The sequence below is a fragment of the Homo sapiens genome, chromosome 8 (genome assembly GCF_000001405.40).
Source record: "Homo sapiens chromosome 8, GRCh38.p14 Primary Assembly".
Classification (NCBI taxonomy): domain Eukaryota; kingdom Metazoa; phylum Chordata; class Mammalia; order Primates; family Hominidae; genus Homo; species Homo sapiens.
This window is the reverse complement of record NC_000008.11, coordinates 126,873,809-126,896,251: the sequence shown is the minus strand read 5'-3', so window position 1 is coordinate 126,896,251 and position 22,443 is coordinate 126,873,809. Positions and strand designations below refer to the sequence as shown.

The window sequence follows — 22,443 nt, the reverse complement described above, 5'->3', positions numbered from 1 at the left end:
TGTTATAGCATGAAAGTAGTCACAGACTAAATGTAAACAAATGAGCAATAAAAAAATAAATAAAACAGGTACAGTCTTATAGACCATGGTGAAAACTTTCTCTTTCACTCTAAGAGGAAAAGCTGCAAAACAGTTTTATAACTGTAGAAGCCAGGTGAATTATGAGGAGGTTTTAACAAGAATGAGGGGAGAGATGCTGGTGATTTGCATTCGGAAAGGGGAGGGGGCTATGTTTTGAAAGTAGAGCCAATGTGAGTTGCTGACAGATTGCTTTTGGGGCACTAAAGAGAGGAGTGGAGGATGACAGTCAACTATATAACCCGGGCAATGGAATAATGAAGCCGCCACTGAAAACTGGAAATCAGTTGTTCATATTTTCACATGTTAAGTTTGAGATGCCAATAAGCATACAAATGGAGATACCAAGTCAACTGCTGAGTTGGAATTCCCAGGAAAGACTGGAACTGGAAACATCAATGTGGGAGTCATTGGCATGAGAGTGGGACTGAAAGCAATAGGACTGGATGGAATTATACCAGATGGTAGATTAGAGGTATTTATCACATAGAATATACGGTACACCCTATACAGGACCATGCACGGTTAAGGTTAAGGCTGTGGAAACAGGTTAGCCTCATAGTAAACTCTGCATTAGCCACATACCACCTGTGAGATTTTAAGAAATGTAATCTTCATAGGATGCCATCTACTCTACTATACCCAGCATATCATAATACCCAATACCTACCAAGATCTCAGAAAATTATATCATGTCATTACCTGATTAAAATCTGCAATGATCTCTTTGCTCTTAAAATAAAATCCACAGTCCCTGGCACAGCCTCTAAAGTGCTGCCTGTTCTGGTCCTTTGCTGGTCTCTGCAGCTTCCCCTGCCCTGGTCCCCCTCTCATTCTCAAGGTTCCTCCCACCTGATCTATGTCTGTTCCACACCCATGTCAAAGTATTTGCTCCAAACTTTCTTGCCCTGGCTCTTACTTATCCTTTAAAGTTCATCTTAAATGTTACTTCCTTGGATAGGCTTCCCAGACACCCTAATCAATCTATGTCAGCATCCCTAGTATGTTATTTCACAGTGCCCTACTGTTTGCCTTCTTGACACTGTCAGTATAATAGGAGATTGTAAAGAGCCAAGCAGCCTGGGTTCAAATCTGGACTTGGTCAACTAGTAGTTGGAAAATCTTGGATAAGTTACTTCACTTCTTGGTGCTTCAGCTCCTTTATCTACAAAATGGGGTGATGATAGTGTCTACCTCGGAGGTCTACCACAGGACTGAATGAAATAACGTATGTAAAACACTTTGACTACCTAGCATAGCAAAGGTGCCGATGAGTCTTACCTGTTATTAGAATGATTATCTACATAGCATTGTATGAGTATTGTTTAACACCTGTCTATCACTGTAAATAATAAACTCCCCAATGATAGGAACCGTGTCTCTCTTGTGCTCTCCATCCTTGTCACTTATCTGACATGCAATGCTCTTGAAATAAATAAATAAATACACGTTATTATCTTTATCATCATCAGCATTATGATCTCATTTTGTCCACTCACTATGTGAGGTAGGAATCATCTTTTTGACAGATGAGCAAATTATGTCTGAGAGAGGCTAAGGAGCCCAAGGTGACACATGCACACTTCTGACAGAGTTGGAATTCCCACACAGATCAGACTCCGGATGCTTGCCGTTGTGTTAGAATTCGGTTTGGAAAGATTACCTGCACGTCATCTACAAATGACTGCACGCTAGCCAAAGTGTACAATAGAAAACCCCATCATCTCAGCCAAAATTCTCCTTAAGCTGATAAGCAACTTCAGCAGTCCCAGGATACAAAATCAATGTGCAAAAATCATAAGCATTCCTGTACACCAATAATAGACAAACAGCCAAATCATGAGTGAACTCCCATTCACAATTGCTACAAAGAGAATAAAATACCTAGGAACACAACTTACAAGGGATGTGAAGGACCTCTTCAAGGAGAACTACAAACCACTGCTCAAGGAAATAAGAAAGGACACAAACAAATGGAAAAACATTCCAATGCTCATGGATAGGAAGAATCAATATCGTGAAAATGTCCATACTCCCCAAAGTAATTTATAGATTCAATGCTATCCCCATCAAACTACCATTGACTTTCTTCAGAGAATTAGGAAAAAACTACTTTAAATTTCATATGGAACCAAAGAAGAGACCGTATAGCCAAGACAATCATAAGCAAAAAGATCAAAGTTGAAGGCATCATGCTACCTGACTTCAAACTATGCTACAAGGCTACAGTAACCAAAACAGCATGATACTGGTACCAAAATAGATATATAGATCAATGGAGCAGAACAGAGGCCTCAGAAGTAATGTCACACATCTACAACCATCTGATCTTTGACAAACCTGACAAAAACAAGCATCAGGGAAAGGATTTCCTATTTAATAAATGGTGTTGGGAAAATTCGCTAGCCATATGCAGAAAACTGAAACTGGACCCCATTCTTATGCATTATACGAAAATTAACTGAAGAGGGAATAAAGACTTAAATATAAGACCTAAAACCATAAAAACCCTAGAAGAAAACCTAGACAATACCATTCAGAACATAGACTTCATGACTAAAACACCAAAAGCAATGGCAACAAAACCAAAACTGACAAATGGGATCTAACTAACTAAATAGCTTCCGCACAGCAAAAGAAACTATCATCAGAGTGATCAGGCAACCTACAGGATGGGAGAAAATTTTTGTGATCTATTTATCTGATAAAGGGCTAATATCCAGATTCTACAAAGAACTTAAACAAATTTACAAGAAAAAAACAAACAACCCCATCAAAAAGTGGGCGAAGGATATGAACAGACACTTCTTAAAAGAAGACATTTATGTGGCCAACAAACACATGAAAAAAAAGCTCCTCATATAAAAAAGGATGAGTTAATGTCCTTTGCAGGGACATGGATGAAGCTGGAAACCATCATTCTCAGCAAACTAACACAGGAACAGAAAACCAAATACTGCATATTCTCACTCATAAGCAGGAGTTAAACAATGAGAACACATGGACACAGTGAGGGGAGCATCGCACACCGGGGCCCGTCCTAGGGTAGGGGGCTAGAGGAGGGATAGCATTAGGAGAAATACCTAATGTAGGTGACGGGTTGATGGGTGCAGCAAACTACCATGGCACAGTATACCTATGTAGCAAACCTGCATGTTCTGCACATGTATCCCAGAATTTAAAGTACATATATATATGTATATGTGTATATATATATATATATATATATAGAGAGAGAGAGAGAGAGAGAGAGAGAGAGAGAGAGACAGAGAGAGAGAGACAGAGAGAGACAGAGAGCCAAAACCACACAGACAAAAAACCCGCTCCACAAAATAGTCCAGCCCACAGCTGCCTGAGTGCTTATCTACATGTTCCTATCAATGATGCTTTTCTTACATTTGCCACATTGAGCCCTTAAATACCTCCTTTTGAGAGTTACATACAATAGAGAAGATAAGTTCATGAAGTGTCATAATTTGAGGGGAATTTAGAGCCCATTGAATAAGCTCCACATCTAATTCTCAAATACCCTCTCTGACACCTCTATCCAGGAGTGCTCCAACCTCTGCTCAGAACATCAGTGGCAATGGAAATAGAGAAATGTTGATTAATTAAGATTTTAGAGGTAAAAGCATTAGGACTTACTGATTTGTAGAATGTGACATGTGAAACAGACCGAGGTGGTAAGAAGGAATCCCAAATTTCTCACCTAAGACACTAGGTTCACAATGGTGCCATTTTATGACATGTCAGTGTATGATTTGGGCAGAAACAGGTTTGGTAGAGAAGGCCACGATGCCATGGATGTGTTAAGTGTATGATGTTTTGAGTTATCAACTGAAGATGAGTCAGCAGCCATTTCATCTCTGGAAAACTCATAGAAACTATAAATCTGTTGCTATTATTAAGGGACAGAATTCAATACATTAAAAAGCAATATTATTTACTCCTAAATGTATGGAAAAGAGGCTAGACATTTAATGTATACACAACTGGAATGAAGATAGTATATTAGAATATAAAAGTATATTTAGAATATGGGTTTTAGAATGAGACAGACCTAGAAGTGCCCTGCCATCTACTCTAATGACCATGGACAATTTACTCTACCTCTATAAGCTCAGTTTCTTTTCTGTAAAGTGGGAATGCTATTATATGCTTATAAAATTGATGAATAGATTACATAATATAAATGATCACATATCATTATTGCGTTAATATTGACCATTATTATTTTTAGCAGTAGGAGGAACATTATTATTACACCTGAGCAAAAGTTGTGGCCTAAAGGGATTCCTAAAAAAAGGGAGAAACTAGATAAGAAAATAAGAAGGACTAGGGTATGATTTTAGAGAAGAATTTTAAATCTTTAGAAAAATAGGTCCTAAAAATAAAATAAACTCTGCCAATAGAGTTGGATTTGAATAGATCTTGTCTAGGCCAGAAGTCTGGGATCTCAACTGACTCATATCCTACTTTGGGTGTACTTTGGCCAATTCATATTAATTATCTTAGCTTGAAACTTCTCAGCTTCAAACCATACAGAATGTTCTCATTGTATCATGTATTGTAGCTTCACTGAGGACAGGGGGCATTAACCCACTGGCCTTTGGTTTTCTGGATAGGCTTACAGCATCACAACTTTTAGCAATTCCCTACATGCATGCCTTCTGCCTCTCAAGATGAAAAGAGGATTCATTTGCATTGCCCTTGGCAGATGTTATGGTAAAGTCTGTATTACTCACGATCGGATGGAGAAGGAGAAGGAAATAAACATTTTTAGAGTGTCTATTTGATTTTAGTTACTATATTATTATTATATATTTTCCATACATTTTTTCAGTTAAACTTTCAAAAGCCCATTGAGGTATCCTTTGAGATAATAAAGCAGCAAGAGTCAAAGATGTTCTTTGTGTCCAAGGCTACAAAGCCAGCAGGTGATGAAGCTGTACTTTGAACCCAAGTCTGTGCCCTCCAAAATCTTTCCCAATTCCTCTCCTCTACACAGCACTGAAAGGTAGATTCTACTTACGCAAAACCTCATAGCCTGAATTCTGGGCCTGAGAACAAGAGTTATTATTATATGCCTGTAATTATACATTGCTATAACATTGCCTATAGAAAGTAATTATGTAAAGACAGTGGGGAAAAGCTCCATTCCCTCTCACTTCCCTCTTCTCGGCACGTTTATTGAGCAAGACCCTTTAGGGTAAATTCTCTTTTCATGATTCTGTAAGTGGCTCCACACTGAAGCAGGTGATAACAGATGACCGCCTGTGGCAATCATCAGAGGAAGGCACCAACCTTCGGCCTTTAGGGAGAAATAAGGTACCACACTTTTGTTACAGGTGTTAAAAGAAAATTGTTGCCTCAAAACAGAAAGAAAGAGAACAGAGACCTGTGCTGTTTTCACTGTCTTTACACCAAAAAGTGAAAAGACAATAAGAACTGGAATCAGCACACCCACAATTTGAGGCCTTATTTTGTCACTTTCTGGTTGTGTGACCACAGGAAAGCTGGTAAATTTTTTTGTGTATGGTTGTTGCACCTTCATTCTTTTAGTTTTAATTTTTATTTTATTTCAGTAGTTTTCAGGGTACAGGTGGTTTTGTTTACATAGATAAATTCTTTAGTGGTGATTTCTGAGATTTTGGGGCACCTGCCACCCAGGCAGCATACACTGTACCCAATGTTTAGTCTTTTAACCTTCACCCACCTTCCACTCTTCCCCTGAGTCCCCAAAGTCCATTATATCATTCCATTATATGCCTTTGCATCCTTATAGCTTACCTCCCACTTATAAGTGAGAATATATGATAATTGGATTTCCATTTCTGAGTTACTTCACTTACAATAATGGCCATCCAAGTTTCTGCAAAGACCATAATTTTATTTGTTTTATGGCTGAGTAGCATTCCATGGTGTATATATCCCATGTTTTCTTTATTCAGTCATTGGTTGATAAGCATTTATGTTGAGTACATATTTTTGAAATTGCAAATTGTGCTGCCATAAAAATGCATGTGCATGTGTCTTTTTCATGTAATGACTTATTTTCCTTTGGGTAGATACCCAGTAATGGAATTACTGGATCGAATGGTAGTTCCACTTTTGGTTTTTTAAGGAATCTCCGTACTGTCTGCCATACTGTTGTACGAGTTTACATTCCCAAAAAGCAGGGATCTTTCTTCTCTGAGTCTCACTTTAACCAAAATACCAACTTAATGAAGATGCTATGGGGCCAAGGTAAGAATAGGGATATGAAAGGACTCCTAGGTTTAACTATTCACCTTGTTAAAATCACCACACATGGTATAAAGTGTTGCTGAACATAAATTTAAGAAAATGGAAATGTGGGCCTGGAGGGGACTTCTGAATCTGACCATCATGGTACCAGGAGGCAGGTACTCAGGTACGCGTCCTCATCTCCAACTCAGAAAGGTTGTTTTGACCTTGGACAAGATGTAATCCCTATAACCCTCAGCTGCCTCACTTATAAAATGGTGCTATTTTGCTTCTTCTGTTTCCCCACCCCACATGCCATGAGTCCACTAAAGACAACCACTCAAGGTTTTCTCCTATATCTGAAACTTATACGAAAAAAACCCAACACTTGCTTTAATCTAAGTCCTTTTGGAGTCACTTATAATTTTTCTCATTACCCAAATAGGTAAAAAAATTTTAACTAAAAATTTAACAGGTGCTATTTAACTATTATATCTATTTGTGTTTATTATCTGTCTTGGTTCAAATGTGCAATGAATAGTAGCGTCCAAGAGGCTTGTTGGTTTTTTCCTAGTACTATTCCTCTAATTCAGATAAATACCACTAGGTGAAGAAGTCTCAGATTGTAAATCTATCCAAAAGCCTTTATTTATTTATGCTGGAATCCACTTTAATATGAATAATAACTATTTTTAAAATATAACAATATGTACAGGTGCTGGAGAGGATGTGGAGAAATAGGAACACTTTCACACTGTTGGTGGGACTGTAAACTAGTTCAACCACTGTGGAAGTCAGTGTGGTGATTCCTCAGGGATCTAGAACTAGAAATACCATTTGACCCAGACATCCCATTACTGGGTATATACCCAAATGACTATAAATCATGCTGCTATAAAGACACATGCACACGTATGTTTTTTGCGGCATTATTCACAATAGCAAAGACTTGGAACCAACCCAAATGTCCAACAATGATAGACTGGATTAAGAAAATGTGGCACATATACACCATGGAATACTATGCAGCCATAAAAAATGATGAGTTCATGTCCTTTGTAGGGACATGGATGAAATTGGAAATCATCATTCTCAGTAAACTATCGCAAGAACAAAAAACCAAACACCGCATATTCTCACTCATAGGTGGGAATTGAACAATGAGATCACATGGACACAGGAAGGGGAACATCACACTCTGGGGACTGTGGTGGGGTGGGGGGAGAGGGGAGGGATAGCATTGGGAGATATACCTAATGCTAGATGACGAGTTAGTGGGTGCAGCACACCAGCATGGCACAGGTATACATATGTAACTAACCTGCACAATGTGCACATGTACCCTAAAACTTAAAGTATAATAATAAAAAAATAAATAAATAAATAATTAAAAAAAAAAACAATATGTATCTATTGGAATAGATTAGTACTCTTCTCCACCAACAGGTCCTATTTCCCAAGCTTGTAAGCGGGTAAATTTGCTTCATTCTCTGTATTCTGACTCATCAAACTTGATTGGTATTTAGAAAATAGGACAATTAGAGAACAGGTATCCCTACATGCCCCCCCATTATGAAAATCAATTGATTAATTACCCTAAATATTTGAATTATGAATTATGTCTCAAAAATCCATCCATGATAACCAGAAGTACCTGAAGAAAGAGTGGACTTGATTATCTTATTAATATTACTAACAAACATTCAGGGATCATAAAGCACTTGCTAAATGGTACATGCTCAATAAACAAACATATACTATGAGCCAGGTATTTGCACCTGACCAATGCCTTCAATCTATAAATATTTATCAGGCTCCTACTATATGATAGACATTGTTTATAATGGGGTGAGATTAAAAACCACCACCACCACCACAATGGAGTTATGCTTACAGTGTACCGAAGAGATACATATATTAAATAATTAAATAATAAATAATAATTAATGAAGTCATTGCTATGAAAGAAAATAACACAAAGCCATGGCAAAGAATGATGAAGAAAGAACTACTTTAGGACGGGTGTCAGAAATGGTGTTTCTGAAAAGGTGGCAACTAAACTGAAACCTCAGCAATAAGAGGAGGCAAATATGCATGTTCTCTGTGAGGAAAGGAGTCTAGGCATAAATAGGAACTTGCATGAAATCCACAAGGCAGCAAAGAGCTTGGAGTGTTTTAAAGAATTTAATTATATCTGCATGACTGAAGCACAAAAAACAAAGCCATAGAAAAGCACAAAATATGCTTGAGGAGTAGGCAGGGGCCAGATCATGAAGGGACTTAATTCCATTAATAAGGAGGTTATTGTAATGCAAAAGGAAGCTTCTTAAATATTTTCAGCAGTGAAGTGAAATGATATAAGTCTTGAAATGACCACTCAGTTCTGCTGCAGTGACTTTATTAGGCTGGTTTTGGTAAGTGTAGGAGGCTAATTAGGACAGTGATTTTTGTTTTTTTGTTGTTTTTTGGTGACTCAAATACAAAATACAGAATACTTAAAACAGAAACTGTCATGCTCCCAGCAGGAAATAGAGAGCATTTTCAAAGAAGGATAGCTCGGGGGTGTTAAATACAGGGATCATGCAAGGCAGGATGTGAGAAAGACACAGAGAGCTGTGCAGTTCCTTGCAGACAAGGACCAGTGGAGAGCCATTACTACACAGGGCACAGAGGCACAAGTAGAGGGAGGGCTAACTAGAACATGGAGACAGAAGGCTGCCTCCTGACGGGAATGACACCTTCTATGAAGGATCCCTGTAAGTCTACGGCCATCCTGAAAGAGAGGAGCCCATGGAACACACACTCCAACCGCAGTTTTCTCCTCTCCAATTTCCCGCTAGTACTCTCCACTAGCTAAATCCAATTAGCCGCTCCAAAGGCTGGGGAGTTTATTGATAGTAGTATATACAGCTCAGTCTGCCAAGGAATCATGCAGGTTGGAGAAGGCTGAAAAATGGATCTGGAGGGGAAAATGAAAAATATGCCTCCTAGGAGGTACTAGTGGAGATGAAGAGAAATTGATGAATTTAAGATATCCTTGGTATATTGTCCGTTCTCGCATTGCTACAAAGACCTACCTGAGGCTGGGTAATATATAAAGAAAAGAGGTTTAATTGGCTCCCAGTTCTGCAGGCTCTACAGGGAGCATGGCTGGGAGGCCTCAGGAAACTTACAATCATGGCAGAAGGTGAAAGGGAAGCAGGCACATCTTACATGGTCACAGAAGGAGAAAGAGAGAGGAGGAGGTGCTACACACTTTTAAACAACCAGAACCCATGAGAACTCACTATCAGGAGAACAGCAAGAGGGAACTCCGCCCCCATGATCTAATCACCTCCCACCTGACCCCTCCCCTCCAACACTGGAGATTACAGTTTGACATGAGATTTGGGTGGGGACACAAACCCAAATCATATCACTTGGATATAGGATCCTCATGAGGTACAGATGTATTTTATATGGAGGGCAGAAGACAGGGATTTACTATGAACCTTAGGCTTTTAATTGGGGTCATAAGGTTGGTAATGGTGTCATTTACTGAGATGTGGTAGACTTGGAGTAGAATGGTTTTTTAAGGAGAAGCTCAAGATTCATAGGTATATTAGTGTGTGATGTTTAAAGGGCATCCAAGTGGAGATGGCAAGTGGGCAGGTGGACAAACTAGACCATATCTCCAAAGATACATCTAGGCTATGGAGATAAATCTGAGAGTTGTCAGCACATGCATGGTGTTTAATGAAATGATGACTATTATCTAGAGAGAGTGTTTAAGAAGAGGGAAGAAGGCTTATTTTCATATTCTGAGATCAGATAGAGGAGTAAAAGCTAGCACAGAAGACTGAACAAGTGTAACCAGGGTGGTAGAAAGAAAACTAGGAATGCATGAGGTAACAGAAATATGTTTCAGGCAAGAATGTGCATCAATTGTAATGAACATGCACTTCAAGATTAGTTTTATCCAGTGGAGAGAGTAGAAGCCATATTAGAGTGAGTTGTTCAAAAAAGGCCCTCAGATACAGATTTCATTGTGTCTTTTCATTTTAACAAGTGAAAAGAAAATAATGCTGAGATGAATTAAATAGTTCCTTCATTTAGTTACTAAGAATTTGAACACAGGTCTGTGATTCCAAGGCCCATGCACTTTCCTTTCTGCTGAGTAATTCTCCAACTCTATGATTCATGCTGCACAGGGAGAAGTTTGAAAGGAACTGTCAGGTTCGCATCTCACCCCGGGTTTGACCTTCTCTCAGCTCTGACTCCTGAAGGCGAAAAATGAGGAAAGACTTCTCTCCAAAGGGGAAAAATAACATAAAATAAATGGCAAGATATTAATCTTGAGACCATTTACGGGAAGGTGTTAAGTGGCCCCACTGGCATTAACAGCAATGAGCTTCGAATATCACTTGTACAGCAAGCTGCTTAGCTCTGCAGATAACAAGTCACAGCAGGCCTTCTTGGGTTGCAAATGTAGTCACTCTGTTTGCCAATTAACTCTTTCCCCCATTGCCTTTTATATAACCAGCCAAGAAGCTTTGCTGAGACAGCATCATCTGCTGGAAAACAGCACTGGCCTGGGAGTTAGAAGAAATGATGTGCAGAAGCAGTAGTGGAAGTAGTAACAGATAGTAGCAATAACAGTAGTAGGAACATTATTGGGAAGCCAGAGCCCTTGGAGGCTCTCTATTTTCTGAAATAAATGTCTACGTTTTCTAAGCTTAGTATCAGCCAATGTCGTTGACAAGGCATTGTTCTTTTATCTCAAGAAATTTAAATTTGTCTCAGTTGTTCTGTGCATGCTAAAACGAAATACTCCATGGCCTTTCCATGTACACCACACACCGTCCTTAATTCATCTGTGATGCTATAGCCTAGATTTCTGCAGGCCCAGGTTGTTCTGTGTCCTATAGAGAGTCATGGTCCCATCCCCTGGAACCATGACTTCCAGCAGATGAAATGTACGGATCCCATGGATGTCCTTTGCATGCCTGAACTTCCAGCAACATTTGACATGCTTATCTTGTCTTCATGAAACATGTTTCCTTTGTCTGTGTGACACCATGTTTTTCTGGTTTTCCTCCTACCTCAATGACTATTTTTTCCCTCAATCTCTTGTGCGCCTCCTCTTTTCCTCAGCCTCTATGTGTTGTGATGTCCTGGGGTCTTCCCTAGACTCCTTTTACTTCGCCATGTATATTTTCTACACAGAGAACAAGGATGTAATCAATCAGCCAAAACAGGACCATCTTGAGAGTGTGAAAATGCTAAGCCAGGCAATAAGTCCTACAGGACCGTCAATGTCATTTTAGGTGACCACATCCTCTCCATGGTGAAGACTCTTAGATCTTTCTCTACAGATTCCAGACTCACATACTCAGAAGTCAATTTGATGTTACTGCTTGGATTCAAGTAGTCACCTCAATTGTAACATAACCAAAACAGAATTCTTCAGTTTATTTTTGCAAATGTGTTTCTTCTTAGTCTTTCCTATCCTAGTAAATGGCTCTACCCTTCATCTGCCACTCATAAAGCCAGGTGTTATCTTTGCTTTCTTTTTTCCTTCATATTTAATTCGTCAGTAATTCCTGTTGATTCCACTACCACATTGGATAAAGCTACCGCACCTCCTAATTACATGTCCTAGTAGCATCTTAACTGGTCTTCCTTCTTTGATTATTGGCTGTGTCTAAACTATTGCCCACACTTTGAATAAAATATATGCTCCTAACTTTGGTAATAAGGTTCTCCATAATTTACCTTCTCCTACTTCTCTGGCACCATTTTCTTTTCCCACTCCTCTCATCCACCTGCCTAGCCTCACCTGGCTTCTTTCTGTTCCTTGAGCACCCAAGCCAGACTCTGCCCTCAAGGCTTTGCAGTGACCCTTCCCACTACCCCATACCTGCCATCCTCTGACCCTCAAGGGCCGGCTTTTTTTTTTTTTTTTTTGAGACAGATTCTCACTCTGTCCCCCAGGCTGGAGTGCAGTGGCACAATCTTGGCTCACTGCAATGTCTGCCTCCTGGGTTCAAGTGATTATCCTGCCTCAGCCTCCTGAGTAGCTGGGATTACAGGCACATGCCTGGCTAATTTTTGTATTTTTAGTAGAGATGGGATTTCACCATGTTGGTCAGGCTGGTCTCAAACTCCTGACCTCATGATCTGCCCACCTTGGCCTCCCAAAGAGTTAGAATTAAAGGCGTGAGCCACCACACCCAGCCTGGCTTCTTGACATTCAGAGCTCTGCTTAAACAATACCTCCCTTTGATAACTTTTCACAACTGGTGTTGCTCATCTGAATCACAGAACACAACACATACTTTTAGTAACTGGATTTTTGTTGTTCAGTTGTTTCAAGGGTTTGTACATAACCAGTACCATTCTAGATGCATAGAAATTAACTTATTATATCCTATGTATGCAACAGAGTAGCTGGACTTAATCTTCTCAGGGAACCTCAGTGGAAAAGGACAAAATATGCTATGTCTCATAACCTATTATTCTTCTTTTCAAAGTAGTTATTACTAGCTGGTATTTCCCTCATTTGTTTATTCCCTAGCTCTTCTGCAATTGTAAACTCCCTAAGAATACAGATTCTGTCCATTTTCTTTTCTGGTACATAGTGTGAGTCCAGTAAACATTTGTTGAATGAAAATACAATGAAGTGAGATGAAGAACCCAGGAGCATGAGGACTTCTCTCAACCCCTATCCAAGGTTGTACCACTTACCCTTCGCTATACTGCTGATCCCCCCATTTTAATTGTTTTAACACTATCCTGTATATTTCTTTGATAATCCTCATCAAAATATTATTTCATGTTATATGTGCTTATTGTCTCTCTCCTCTCTTCAGAGTGTGAGCTGCATATAGAGACCTTATCTCACTCACTGTCCCATGTACGCCCAATGTCTTACCCAATGACATCTATTAGTTTTGTTGTCTCAATAAATGAAAAAGAGGGCAAGTCTTTGAGTAAAAAGACTTTGATCCCAGCTAAGCTTAGCATCCACCTTGCCCTAGACCTCTGAGCTTGCAACTGCGTGTATGTGTCATATTTTCCCACCTGTAAAATTAATACCCATTAAAACTCATATAGCACAAGGAATAACAAATTCTACATAAAACTATTGAGTGCTATTTTAGTTTGGGTTTTTCAGAAGCTGTCTCTGAAACAAAAGATTTCAGTGCAACTAAACTAATTTATTTGGTAATTAAGGGTACACTGGTAGGAAAGTGGGGAAAAAGAAGGTAGCCAGTAAAAGACGAACCCTTGAGCCAGCAACCAGTGTGGGCAATGGAGCTTAATCCGACTGAGTGAACTGAGAGACAGTGTGGCACATGTGCCTGGGATTGGCCTCACTAAAGGGAGCGGGAGCTGGGGTATGCATACATTATCAATCATTGACTGAGGGCTCTTCTCAGGGGGGCATTCATTCCTTATCACTTCAGGTCATCACAATGGCAGCAAATCTTGCTCTAAAAGAAAGCCCTTAGACAGAGAAATGCAGGAGCTGCTGGTGGACACTGGGGCTGGTGTGCACTGTGGTAAGGGCAAGGGGATAAGGAACAGGGTAGTGGGGGTCGGCTCCAGAAGCATCTGCTCCAAGGGTCTACCAGGTGCTAGCAGTAGCTCCATGTCTAGCATGCTAACCTACATTTCGCACATACTCAATTTTGTCCATGAACCCGCTGCAACAGTATACAAACTATAGATAATTACACGTCGTTTCTGTTTGTTTTGTTTTTTTTTTGAGAGGGAACCTCACTCTGTCATCCAGACTGGAGTGCAGCGGCACGATCTCAGCTCACTGTAACCTCCACCTCCCAGGTTCAAGCAATTCTTCTTCCTCAGCCTCCCAAGTAGCTGGGATTACAGGCGCCTGCCACCACGCCTGGCTAATTTTTGTATTTTTAGTAGAGACAGGGTTTCTCCATGTTGGCCAGGCTGGTCTCGAACTCCTGACCTCAGGTGATCTGCACGGCTAGGCCTCCCAAAGTGCTGAGATTACAGGCGTGAGCCACTGTGCCCGGACTACATGTGTTTTCTCATCTGCTAAACCTTAACCAGATTTTCAAAAGGATCTATGACCCCAGAGACTTAAGAGCCATTGGTATCTGACTGTCTGATTCCTTTTTAATTCATCCATTCCAAAATCTAAACAATGAGTGTACCACAGAGGAAGTGCGGAGGGTGTACCCACCAACAACCTCACAACAATCTCAGGGGAGGGCTTAAGTGTCCCCACACACGAGAGTGGAGATTTGAGCCAAGCGTACCCAGCTCTCTGAGGAGAAGGGACGCTACCTTAGCACACATCTTCTATACATGTAGGATGAAGATCATAATCTCTACCTTGTAAGGCTGCTGGAAGAATTAAATAGCATAATGGACAGAATATATTTAAGCACCTAGCACAGGCCCTGGCACGGCAGCTTCTAGAGGGTGAGGCAGAGGGCACATTTGTATTCTTCATTTGGATGCCTAGAATGATTGGACACATAAATACATGTTGGGCTGAAATTTAAGTAGAGGGGAAATGAGTGACAGGGTGAGTGGGCATCTGGGCCACAGTGATTGTTGGCTTCCTGGCTATTTCCGCAGTGGCCATTTAAAGCCAATGACACAGGGGGAGTGTATCTATTGCATTTGGCAGGCTGCTGTTGGTGGGATTGCACTCTGGGAGTGCTTGCATGACCCTGCAATAATGGAGACAGCTGGAAGAGCAGAAATAAGGAGATGCTTCAGATGAATTGCCAAATATTTTTTTGAAGGAGGTGGGTCCCCAAAAGAGATCAGTCTCCCGATATTTGCCTACAGGATGCCAAGTCAATGCACTCAGATGGATAGACTCAATCCTAGGTACATTATTTGTTTAAAAGTGGCTTGCCTGGTATATTTTAGCACTGTCACATATTGGGCAAAGAGCCAGCTAGAGAAGGTAAATGAAATCGTAGCCTCGTAGATCTCTAGGCTAGAAGTATTTTCAAACAATTGCTTAGAAACATGGTTATAGCCTGGAAAAGAATCTGGGCTTTAGTTACCAAAAGGCTTGGGTGCAAATTCTGGCCTTCTGCTTGTTAGATGTGAAGCATTAGACCAAACTGTTCAAAGTCTCAGTGTCTCTTTATTTTATTAATTTTTAAAGACAGGGTTTTGTTCCATCACCCAGGTTAGAGTACAGTGGCACAATCATGGCTCACTGCAGCCTAGACTTTCCAGGCTCAAGCATTCCTCCCACCTTAGCCTCCCAAGTAGCTGGGATTACAGGTGCATGCCACAACACCTGGCTGATTTTTTGTATTTTTTTGCTAGAGGGGGAGGTCTTGCTATGTTGCCTAAGCTGGTCTTGAACTCCTGGTCTCAAGAGATTCACCCACCTAGGCCTCCTAAAGCGCTGGAGTTACAGGCATGAGCCACTGTACCTGGCCAAGTCTCAGTGCCTTAACTGGAAACCAAATCCATTTTGGGAGGCTAGCAACACAAGTGCACGTGTGTACTCCCAGAGCAAACCGGAAGCTGTTATGGTTATCTAGTCTAGCCTTTACATTGAGATTTTATAGATAAATCAAGTGAGAAGATCAAGAGTTAAGCTAATTATCTAACTCACACTTTTAAGTAAGCAAACTAAGCACAGGGTTCAGCAAACTACTGCCCACAGCCCAAATCCCACCTGCCTGTTTCTGTAGTGTCCATGGCTACACGCCCATTCATTTCTGTAGTGTCTATGGCTACTTTTGTGCTATAGCAAGAGTTGAATAGCTGTGATGGAGAACGCATGGGCCACAAGCCCAAAATATTTACTATCTAACCCTTTATTAAAAATATTTGTCTTGGGAGGCCAAGGCGGGCGGATCACCTGAGGTCAGGAGTTCCAGATGAGCCTGGCCAACATGGCGAAACCCCATCTCTACTAAAAATAGAAAAATTAGCCAGGCATGGTGGTGGGTGCCTGTAATCCCAGCTACTCGGGAGGCTGAGGCAGGAGAATCGCTTGAACCCGGGAGACGGAGGTTGCAGTGAGCCAAGATTGTGCCATTGCACTCCAGCCTGGGTGAAAGAGTGGGATTCCATCTCAAAAAAAAAAAAAAATTGTCAACCTCTGAAATATGGGATAAGTGAAATTTACATCATGAGCTGTGCTCTTACACCAATCTTGAATGCTTGCATCCTCCAAAGCTAATAACTTTTTAAAAGATATATGGTGAGAAATATTAGCAGAATCAGTCCTGAGGGCATCCAGATACCCATCACTCTTTCTCCCCAAGTTCTGCTTTCTCCTTCTTCCACGTCTATCCCCTCATCATGTCCTCCAGTCCTCTCCTGTCCATCGGTGTATAGACCAGGCTCAGTGGCTCACACCAGTGTATACAATCCCCTGCAAGCACAGTGTGGTATGAACGACCCCAGCCTGTCTTCTTGGAATATCAACTTTGTCAAAAATAATGTAAAATCTTACCATTTTTACCAAAACAAATAAAGAGTTTTTAAGATGAAGCTTGAGACTTTCAAGAAATTTCCAGACTGCTTCTGGTCACTCTAATATCCTCTCTCGGAAGAACACACTCTGCCTTGGCATTTTTAGAAGAAAATTTGGCAAATATTACTTTGATTGGAGCCTGACATGTCAGACCTGCATTTGAAACCTTGCTCCACAGCTAACTGGCTGTGTGACTTAACTTCTCCAAGACATTCTCTGCTTCCCATCCTGAACAATTAGGGGTAAAGATATTTCCCTAGGAAGGTCGGGGTGAGGATAAAGAAGACAACTGGGTATCAGCAGTTTTCAAACTTGACAGCAAATGAAAATTAGCTGAGGAACTTTATGGATGTCCAAGCCACACCCTCAGACCAATTAAAACAGAATGGATGGGGTTGGAGGGGAGTGGGGACTACAACTGGCACTTTTAAAGGTGCTCCAGGTGATTCTGTTGTAAAGCCTGGGTTGAGAAAGGACTGATGGGCATAGAAGTATTAGCGTGGTGCTGACTCATAATTGATCATGGATAAATGGTAGCTTAAAGTGGGGGTGGGCACATGGCACTCACCCAGGACTGCCTACCCTGCTGCAAGTTCCAACTTACCCCAGTGTGACAAATAGCCTAAGGTTAGAGTGCCACCCCACCCATATAATATATTTGCATGGCAGAGTCTAATGGTGCCCTTAAATCACATCATGGAGACATCTGCTGGCACCGCCTGATGCCAGCCCCAGATCAAAGCTGGTTGCTGCTGCTGGGGCAATTGGGCTTCAGCACTAATGCCATCAATGCACAGGAACCTGTGTCCTTAAAGGACCTGATGAAGACACTGTCTGTCCCTTGGAGGTCCCCAGCAATGTATGGGATGATCTAGAAAGACCTTAGAGCTGGCCAAACTCCCCCTTCCTCCACCTGCCTGCCATGGACACAAAACAAAGTGTGTGTGTCTGTGTGCGTGCGCATGTGTGTGTAAATCAAAAGACTCCTAACCTTCGAGTCAGAAGGTCTGGCTTCTCTTCATTCCTGTCCTAGCCTGGGTTTCCAAATAAAGAGCCTGGGTCAGGGCATGTCAAGGTAGTTCATTTATGAGGTGATTCTAAGGAACAAGAGTGAAGCACCGCTGAGTAACAGGAAAAAGAAACATGAATGTAGAAATATGCTGTGTGTTGGGCCATTCCTGGGAGTAACTGTGGCTCAGTGTCCCCCTCTTTTGAGACATGTCTCGGAACCATCACCCTTGGGGAAATGAAGAGCGGATGCATTTATCCAACAGATCCAGTCCCCCTTTGGTTAGGGTGCCTCCGCCAGCATTAACCTCTCAGTCCATCCTTTAAAGCTGAGCAACATTCTGAAGTCAGCCAGAGAAGCCCCATGGCAGAAAGAATTACTTGCACAAATACCGTGGAGATTGGCATGGAAATGTCTGCACAGACTGCAGGGCTAGGAGGATGGGCAATTGTGTAAAGAGGTTCTCAATGTGCAACATGCCCACTCACTCCCAGCCACAGGAGAGGTTCCGGGCCCCACGCTAAGTATTTTACATCTATGATCTCTTTCAGTCTTTCTCAAAACCCAAGCAATTGACATCTTTCTCTTCATTTTACAGATGAGAAACTTGGAGCTCAGAGACATCCGTTAACTTAAAGTGGCTGAAGGGGGACTCCAATCAGGGCAACCCACCTTAGAGTCCTCTGCTGTCCACCACTGAGCTGGGAAATGAAGACTCTGCACATAGCATTTCATCTGGCTGATCCTTGGAGTCCCAGTCTGTAAGTTTGTGTCAACATCCTCTGCCTCTTCTGTAGGATGACCAAATGAAAAATCGATGAAAATTCATTCATACGCAGGGGTTTAATTTTTTTTATTTTCATGAGGCAAAAACAAACAACAACAACAACAATAAACCAACCCGACAATATAATAGCCTGGTCCCAGGCATCAGAGGATGGGACTAATAGGTTTCAAAGCCACATTCATGACTTGGGAGATTCTGCTTGAACAGACAAGCTGCCCCAGGCATCCTGGAGATGAAGTAAGTACGATTCTTCTTGAATTTGGGGGACAGCTCTTCTCTGGAGTTCAAAAAAAAAAAAATCCAAGTTTCACTGGGGGCAGAAGGACAGTTGCTGGGTGTGCCTCTAGTTGTTCTAGAGAAATGAACGCTTAGAACTACAGTTCCTCTCACAAGAGGTGAGACGGCTTTGCAATTGAAAGAGAGCAACCAACCTGGAGCAATTATGTTTTCATTATTATTCCCAAGCTTCTCTGTCACAAATCACATTTTCCAACCCGGGGCACGTTGGTGCAGAGCTGCCGATTGCAGTTCCCATCATTCCACCAGCTGACTGCTCCAGCCTGGCCCTGGAAGCGGCAAGCCGGTGGCTCATTAACTGCAATACCTGTGCACAGATTGCAAACCCGGCAGAGCAGATGCTGCATACTTCAGGAAATTCTCCCCTATTTGAAAATGACTACGAAGTACTTTTTACTATCAAACCCTTGTTGGGATTTTTCTAGAAAGAAGACCGTGAAGCCCTTGTAGATTTTCCTGTCGACTTGCATTACAGAGCAGCTGAGAGTGCTAAGTCTGGGCATGGCCTTGACTTGCAGGCACAAACACAAACACACCCCGGCGCCCCTGGCTTTAAAACTGGGGATTTAAAGCGCTAGACTTGAGAGCGCAGAAGTACGGCAATGCTCATGCCGCCATCATGTGGCTAGAGGAGGAACCGCACCAGGAACAGAATGGACCAATTCGGCCAGGCTGCCTGCACCCCCTCCTTCCTACTTTCCTCCCTCCCTTCCTTTGAAACAGCTGCTGAAGAAGACTAGTCAATTAAAAAAAAAAGAAAGAAAGAAAGAAAAGAAAGGTGGAAGAGAAATAATTGAGTTAGGTACCACTGTTTGCACACCCCGTTCCTGGGGCTTTATAAAAGCCCTGCGTGGTAAGGCAAATAGCCGTCAAATGAATTTGAGTGGGAATTCAAAGCACTCTTGATTTCTCTTGGTTAATATACGTTAGCTGAATTCAGTGTCGAAATTGAGCAGCTCATATTTAAAAGGAGATGATTCCCGCAGAACTTTATGGACTTTACATATAGAGGACACAGAACAAATTAAACTTTTGCTTATTGCTTTGAACAAAAATTAGTGTTTTATAAAAAGAGAGGGAGGGAGACTTAAAACTATGCCCTCATTCATTATTCTGTTCGGTTGTCTATCTTTTAGTTCTTAATTTGTAGAAACTCCTTGCATCCTGGGGATAATATCCTCTTGTGCATCATATGAGTTGCAAATACTTTCTAATAATTACCTGGCTTATTTCTTTATGGGATCTCTTTCCAATTTTAAAAATTATTAATTTTTTAATGTAACTGAAGCTGCTAATAGTTTGTCTTTTATAGCTTCTGTGTTTTCTATCTTGCTTAGAAAGCTGCCTCCACCTCAAAGTATAGTCTTTAATACTATTTTTAATAATGATTTTATGTTTATGTTTAGTTCATATGGATTTATTTTTATACTCCATTTAAGCTAGCTTTTCACCCAAATGTGGAATCAATTGTCTCTGTACCATTAAGAAAATAACAATCTGTCATTTCCCCACTGAAGTGGCACATTTATTATCGAGTAAGTGCCTATATGTAGCGGGATCCTATCTGTTCTGCCAACATACCGTATTTATACTCACTACCACACTGTTTTAATCTGGTAGGATAAGCCCCTACCCGCTTCCTATTTTTCTTTTATAAAATATTCTTAGCCATTCTCGAACATTGGTTCCTCCATCATATGGGTATGCGTGGTCTGATTTGTTATAACAACCTTGCATTATTTTTGTTAATAAAAGGTCTTCAGTTGTTTTTTTGTTTTTGTTTTTGTTTTGAGACGGAGTCTCGCTCTGTCGCCCAGGCTGGAGTGCAGTGGCACGATCTCGGCTCACTGCAAGCTCCGCCTCCCGAGTTCATGCCACTCTCCTGCTTCAGTCTCCCGAGTAGCTGGGACTACAGGCACCTGCCACTGCCCCCAGCTGTTTTTGTATTTTTAGCAGAGACGGGTTTCACCGTAGTCTCGATCTCCTGACCTCGTGATCCACCCGCCTGGGTCTCCCAAAGTGCTGGGATTACAGGCGTGAGCCACCGCCCCCGGCCCAGTTCTATATCTTCTGCAGAGCTTACATTGTTTCTCTGGAGACTTGGTGAAGGACAGACACCTCACATCCCCGTTCCTGCTGTGGGAAAGGCTAAGCGTTCTCTCTCAACCTGCTAGAGGGACTCTGATTGGTTCATACAGAGTCTTAGAGAGTTGAAACACGGCTGCCAGACGTCCACCCCTATTAATGAGCAGTTAATTGGAGGTGGTTGTGAGATAAGCAGAGATCCCAAAAGGTGTTTACTATGTTCCTTAATTTGAAATTTATTCAAAAATCACGAGCTGATGGCTCTTTATATACTAAGGCCTCGGACCAGGGAATCAAAAGTAAATCAGATACAGGCCTTGCATTCAGAGAGCTCATGAACTAGAAGTGCTATGCATGTGTGAAAACAAAATTAGCACCCTTCCAGGCAAAGAAAGTAGACTGGAAATGTACACAGTACTGTAGCAGCCTCCAGAGAGGGGCAGTGAAGCCGGGTGAGGCAAGGATGTCATTAAGGAGTGAGGACTGTGTGAGGGCCATGTAGCAAACCATCCCTTCCTCCACAGGGGAATCAGCCTCATTTCAGTGGTAGAAAGGAGTGCGATTGTTCTGTTGTGTGCATATGTGTTTGTATGTGTGTATGTGCACATGTGTGCGAGTTGACCTGGTTCTCCTGAGCAGGAATCTAGCCAAAGGGTGCAGAGGCTGCAGACTTAGGTAGCAGGGAGGGATGAAAGGCTCAGGGAGGAAGCGGCTCAGATATATCTTGTTCTTCTTCCCTGACCTCAAGCTATAAAACAGGCAAACACTTCAGGCAAGCTTTCCGAAAAGACAAAGTTCTCACTGTCCCAGGAAACGAGAGCTTAGACCCTGAATAAAGACTCCACTTCATACCGTACCACCTTCTCCCACCTCTCTCAACACACAAATGCTGTTTGTTTAAAAGTTTATCTCAACTGGAGGCTTTAAGGAAGGGCCCCTGGACATGGCCTTAGATCCTGTGTTATGCTTCAGCTGTTTTTTTAATGTTTGTCTGTTCACACAGATGAAGTCACGAAGATCACAATCTAAGGCAAAATGATATTTTCTGCAGTCATTATTGTTCTTGGAAACAGAAGAGCCGAGTGTGAGAGAATGTGAGGGCTGGAAGGGACCAAGGCAGCCTCCAGTGCCCCACTGGGCTTAATCCCCAAGGGAAATGAGGCCAGGAGCGGTGACATGACTTGTCCCAGTTCACGCAGCTAGTTCCTTCTGCACAGATGTATCTAAAGGACACTTCTCTAGGGGTGCTTCACCGTCACATCATTGTGCAATTAAATGGGGGGACCTCCTTTTAATAGAATACATTATTTCTCTTCTTCCAAACATAAGGGTCAGGGTTTTGTACAATTTGTATGTGAAAGTGTGCAATATAAAATTCCATTTAGGAGAGTGGAATGCTTCCAAAGGACAAACGATAAATGAGATGGGCTCTTCCACCCCCAGGTCCCACCAAAAAAGGCTTCAAACAAGGGAAGGTTAATTAGG

General features: G+C 41.6%; 1 long non-coding RNA gene across 1 annotated transcript in view; it reads right to left on the bottom strand.

Annotated features, from left to right (window-relative positions):
* The window catches only part of LOC105375751 (uncharacterized), a 463,156-nt gene that overhangs the window by 124,780 nt on the left and 315,933 nt on the right, over positions 1–22,443 (bottom strand). Inside the window, exon 4 of the long non-coding RNA NR_188069.1 lies at positions 18,462–18,580. This is a non-coding gene — a long non-coding RNA (uncharacterized LOC105375751). The remainder of the gene's footprint in view (positions 1–18,461; positions 18,581–22,443) is intronic.